Here is a 6389-nt window from a genome sequence, read left to right on the forward strand (position 1 = left end):
TTGCTTTGGCCTAGGTCATGTTTTTACTTTCAGTCACTAAAATTGTGGTGCAATGGTGTATCAGATGTGAGCCTGAAGATTTCAGTCAGTGGCCTCATCTGCAGCTGCTTAAAGCTAGGATTCAAGATCAGGACTTCCTAACCCAGCCTCTCTGCTCAGAAGGATGACCAGAGAATAAGGGAGACCATCAGCAAAGCTTAGGCAGCTGGATATTCCTATTCCAAATCCAGGGCCACTGTGCTTAACTCTGCCCTTGATAAAACCCTTTCTCTTGAGCACTATGGACCTGAAATCCAAATGCCTAAACTCAGCTTCATGTGGGCCTGACACTTCTCTGAAATACTTGAGGGTCTCTGGGAAAGGTGAGAAGTAATATGACTTCTTTAACAGGACATTCTGGCTCTTGTTTCTTTCCCGGCTGCTGCAAGTTGGGCTCCTTGGGAAACAGACTCTGAGACAAAGTTTAGCATGATCCCCTGGGGATCAACACCTGAGGGAAGGAGGGGAAGAAACAGCAAACATAGAGGTAAGCAGTGAGCTGGGATGCAGGCCCAACGACAGCCTCTGCTGACCCTACAGAGAGTCATCCCAAGCAGGGCAGAAAGGGCCAGGCTTTTGTACTCTGCTTTTATCAGTTATTGCATGGGGGCTGCCTGGGAAGAGGTGTGACCTCTGGGGCAGGGGGGTGCATGGGGCAGCTCTGTGCAGCAGAGGCAATCCCCCAAGGGCCTGGCAGGGAAAGTCTATGTGCTGACAGCACTCCTAGCTGTTAGGGCAACAAGCTCTTCATTAAACAAGGTCTGGGTAGTACCGAAGGGACCATATAAAGTAGTAGAAACCGAGTTACTGAATTTCCAGAGGGCTAGTAGCAAGAAGATGGCTGAGTATAGCCCTTGGATTCCAGGTTAAGGGTTGGGTGGCTCTAAGGTACTAGAGATCTTGAGGTCAAGAGCAACTGTATTGGGAATAAATTCGGAGGGCAGAAAGTTAAAAGGATAGGGGCTACAGTCACATAGCAGCAGATTTATCCAGCCCTTGGTGCCCTGCTGTTGTCCTTTTCTTCACCCAACTCTATTGATCCAGCCACCCATCATGTCCATGTCTACACTCAGGTTTCTGAGCAAGAAGGAGAACATTCCACAGTCATGTGCATTGGTGTCCAACTGTCTCTGTCTCCTCACTTTGTGCATGTTTCTCAACAGCGTCCCCACCCTTTCCTCACCATGACTTCACCATCACTTTTTCAGTTGCTGTCTCTGCTCCCATCCCCACAAATATAGACATATTCATAGACATAAAATTTCTTTCATAGATAGTGCCATACTGGGAGCATTGTCCTATGAGTTTTTTACTTAACACTCAATTTTAGAAATATTTCAATGGAAGCTTTATTTATTATAATTATTATTATTATTTAGAGACAAAGTCTGGCTCTCTCACCCAGGATGGAGTGTAGTGGTGCAATTATAGCTCGCCATAATCTCAAACTCCTGGGCTCAAACAATTCTCTCACCTCTACTTCCTGAATAGCTAGGACTACATTCATACGCCACCACACCTGGCTAACCTTTTAAAATTTTTTTGTAGAGACAGGAGCTCACTATATTGCCCAAGCTGCTCTTGAACTCCTGGCCTCAAGCAATCCTCCCGCCTTGGCCTTCCAAAGTGCTGGGATTGCAAGCATGAGTCACCATACCAGGCCATTGATGGAAACTTTAAAAAGAGAGTATAAATTCTTGGGGACCACCATAACCCTGGTAAATTAGAATCTCTGGGAGTGGGACTGAGGGACCTGTATGTTCTGATGATCTGCAAGATTTTGGAACTAGTGCTTTGAGGGCAGTCCCTCCCATTTCCATGATTTGATTTCCACTACATGTTGGTGTCTCCTGAATTTACATTTTTAACTCAGATCTCTTCTAAGTCTCAGATCCATATATTTAAACACTAATTGTCTTGATGTTTCTCTCTAGGTGTCCTACCCTAAATGCAGATTGACCAGACTTTTGTAAAACACACACACATACACTGGAGGAATGGCATCTAATTCTCTTTCTCTCTCTCTTTTTTTTTTGACATGGAGTCTCACTTTGTCACCCAGGCTGGAGTGCCATGGCACAATCTCGGGTCCCTGAAACCTCCACCTCCCAGGTTCAAGCAATTCTCATGCCTCAGCCTCCTGAGTAGCTGTGATTAGAGGCACCTGGCTAATTTTTGTATTTTTAGTAGAGAGGGGGTTTGCCATGTTGGCCAGGCTGGTCTCGAACGCCTGACCTCAGGTGATCTGCTCGCCTTGGCCTCCCAAAGCGCTAGGATTACAAGTGTGAGCCACTGCGCCCAGCCTATCTAATTATCTTTCTCAATGCGTATCAGGTCTCCCCTGAAACAGCCGAGATCACGCCACTGCACTCCAGCCTGGGCAACAGAGTGAAACTTCGTCTCAAAAAAAAAAAATAAAATTTTTAAAAAACAGAAGAAAATCTGCATCACAGCAGAAAACTAAGAAAGGATGCCATTCACATGGTAATTTATTTAGAAATAAAATCATGCTATAGTTTACATGGGTGGAGACTGATGGAAGCAATCAAAGATCAGCTTACAATCAATGCTCCTGGGGAAAAAAAAATCTTAGGGAATAATTGCAGGAGACCCTGGGAGAATTCCAATAATCCTTCCCCGCAATTTGAAGCTGGAAGTGAGAATAGGCAGTAGGACAGGGTGGAGCACCTTCCTTAGGACCCATTGTGTTGGATACTGCAAGTATTCAGAACAGCTTCCCTGAGAGGTTGCATGGTATGCTTGGTGGGCATTGCTATGCAGCATCTCATGGATGCCTTTGGCAGAGGCATCAGAAAAGAAAACAACAACATTGTGTGTAAATCCCAATACATAAAGAGCATAAAAACATTAAAAATAATCCAAAAGAGAAGAGTAAAAAAATATTACTTAAAAAAGAGAGAAATTATACAATAATAGAATCCTACAATAGAAGAAAAATCAAACATGCAAGAAACAAATAGAAAACACAAATGTGTTCATCTTTCTTATTAACAAAATGACTCTCAAATTTAATGAAAAAATCAAACTCTATTCTATCTGCAAGCATTATATTCAGAATTAAATATAAAAAGGCTAAAAGTCCACAAGTGGAAGTGAAAAAAAAAGGCTAAAAGCAAAAGAATAAACAAAAATATACACAAACATTTAAGCAAAAGGAATAGAGTTGACAATATTAACTTCAAAGTTTAAGACTAAAAGAATTAGGAATGACAGGAGAGTATCATTTTATATTTATAAAATAGATATAGCCACAATGTAGCTATAATAATAATGCAGCATTCTGTAAACAAATAGCATAGTATTGACATAAATAATACAAAAAATTGTTGGAAACAAAAGGACAGTCCCAGAAAGCCAATTTTTGATTTTTTTTTTTTTTTTTTTTTTTTTAAGATGGAGTTTCACTCTTGTTGCCCAGGCTGGAGTGCAGTGGCACAATTTCTGCCTACTGCAAGCTCTGCCTCCCGGGATCAAGTGAGTCTCCTGCCTCAGTCTCCTGAATAGCTGGAATTATAAGCATGTGCCGACAGCTCGGTTAACTTTTGTGTTTTTAGTAGAGACAGAGTTTCACCATGTTGTCCAGGCTGTTCTTGAACTCCTAACCTCAGATGATTCACCCGCCTCGGCCTCCCAAAGTGCCGGGATTACAGGCGTGAGCCACTGCACCCGGCCAGAAAGTCAATTTTCTTAGGAAACAGTTCACCCTTATGACAATCTTTGACAAATCAAGTATAGGAAGAATTCAAACAACATTAAAAAAAAATTGAATAGGTACAATAGTGCTCACCCACAGAAAATACATCAACTTTTAAAAATCTATTGAATATTTATGAAAACAAATTCTATGTTAATAGCAAATAAAAACTCAGTAAATTCCAAAATGTAGAAATAGTAAATATAACACTTTTATCACAACACAATAAAACTGACATTACAAATATATAAACAACAATATAAAAAACCTTACTTACTGGAAAAAGAAAATTCTCCTAAATAACTCAGGTCAAAAAGAAGTAGAAAATGCAGCTTTAGACTCTTTGGTAAAAATGACATGGAGAATTCCACATAGCAAAACATATGATAAAAAAGCAGGAGTTGGAGGCAAATATGTAGCCATAAATGGCTTTATTAATAAATAAGAAAAATGGAAGTTAACATTAAACTCAAGAATTAAAAACAGCACAAAGTAATCAAAGGAAGGCATGAAAAAGAAATTGAGGGAAAAAGCAGCATAGTAAGATGAAGAGCTCAAGCCTAGGAGACAAAGAGCTGGGAGCTGAATCTCAGTTTCCCCACTCTCTAGAAGAGGGGTCGTTAGTTGGCGTCCTTAAGAATCAGTCTTCTCCTATGTAAAACGGGGATTAAGAGAATGCATCTCTTAGGGTTGTTGCAAACAGATGAGATAATGTGGGTCAATAGATGAGCACAGTACTGGGCTCAGCACTTTATGGTAAATACTTAAGCACAGACATTATTATTTTCAATAAAGACAGTAACAGCTCAAATGACAAACTCAACTGTTGTTTGTTGCTGTTGCTAAAAAAGAAAAGGAATAACATCAAATAAAAAAACTTCTTTTTAGTTTTAGAAGAATAGATAAAATATAAATATACACATTTACAAATAAGCAAGGGACTTTGGGTTCAACTTTGGGAAAGAATGTCCTTTAAAACTCTAGTATGGTAAATTTTTAATTACAATACACATATCTATTTGTAGTAAAATATAAACCACTCAAATTAACTCAAAAGGAAATAGAATACCTGATAAAATCTAATACTTCAGGATAAAACACGAAGATTGTCAAAGATCTAGCTCAAAAAAGTTTCAACCCAAAGGATTTTTTCTAGGCAACTTCTTTTAAACTTTCAAAGAAAATATAATTACCATTATATTTAAGCTATTGCTGAACAGAACAAGATAAAACATTGTCTTTCCCTTTCTCAGTTATTTTGCAAAACTAGCATAAACTTGATACCAAAATATGACAGACCACAAAAATAGGATACAAGTCAATTTCTTGTATGAATAAACATAGGAAAATCCAAAATAGAATACTAGCAACTCAATTTTACCAATGTATTCAAACAATATTCCACTATAATCAGGAATATGGTATTCTAGGAATACAGATATATCTTATTGCTAGGAAATCAGTTAATTTAATTAATCCAATTTAGTGAGCATTAGTTACCATTTACTTATTCATATTTTTTGAATATTTATTTGTAAATGCATAGTGTACCTCTAGAAGAATGCATAAGAAACCAATTAGGGTTGACTTTGGAGAAGAAAACTGAATGAAGGACAAGTAAGAGATTTCATTTTTACTATATACAATAATAACTACTCAAAAACTAACATTTAAATAATTAAATCCATAAACAAGCTACTTGTCTGCCAGACTGTATTTAATGATTAACTCATGTTTGATCTGACATATATTGTGAAGGTCATATATAATAAATTTCTAACACTCAAAAATATATTATACCATCATTATTGTGTTGTGCTTATTCGTAAAATAAGTGAGCAACTAAAACGTCACTGTAAAAAGAAAAAGTTGACCCCATCACATACCTACTGATAAGCTTAGGTTTTTAGTTTTGTTTTTTTTTTAAACATGAGATCTTTTAAAATATATATATGCCTCTTTCTTGGGTGGAGAAAGTGATAGAGAAATATTGCATCAGATTTACCACTATGGCCCTGCAGACATTATTTAGGTCAGTAGGTTCATATTGCATATTTTACTTTCTGGAACTCAGGAATAGACAAGTATAATCTTGTGCTGTGTTTTGTTTTGTTTTGTTTTGTCTGGAGACAGAGTCTCTGTTGCCCAGGCTGGAGTGCAGTGTCGCAGTCATAGCTCACTGAAGCCTCTGAACTCCTGGGCTCAAGTGATCCTCCCACCTCAGCCTCCCAGGTGGCTGGGACTACAGGTGCAAGCCACCATGCTGAACTATTTTTTCGTTTTATTATTCCTTTTTCTATAGATGGGGTCTCACTCTGTTGCCCAGGCAGGTCACAAATTCCTGCATTTAAGCAGTCCTCCCACCTCAACCTCCCCAAATGCTGGGATTACAGGCAGCAGCCACCATACTCAGCCAAGTATAATCTTAATAGGTTCTGAGTTTTATTTTCTGGGCCAAATAAAACTCAGAATTGATATTATCCATAGTAGGATAGGGTAATTATTATAATGTGACTGAATTGTGTGAATCTATGCATTATGAGTATAGTATGTTCTTTCATCCTTTTAAACACAAAACCCAAGTGGGATGTGTATTAATTTTCTACTGCTGCATAATAAATTATCACAAACTTCA

Source organism: Homo sapiens, chromosome 15, assembly GCF_000001405.40.
Source record: "Homo sapiens chromosome 15, GRCh38.p14 Primary Assembly".
Classification (NCBI taxonomy): Eukaryota; Metazoa; Chordata; class Mammalia; order Primates; family Hominidae; genus Homo; species Homo sapiens.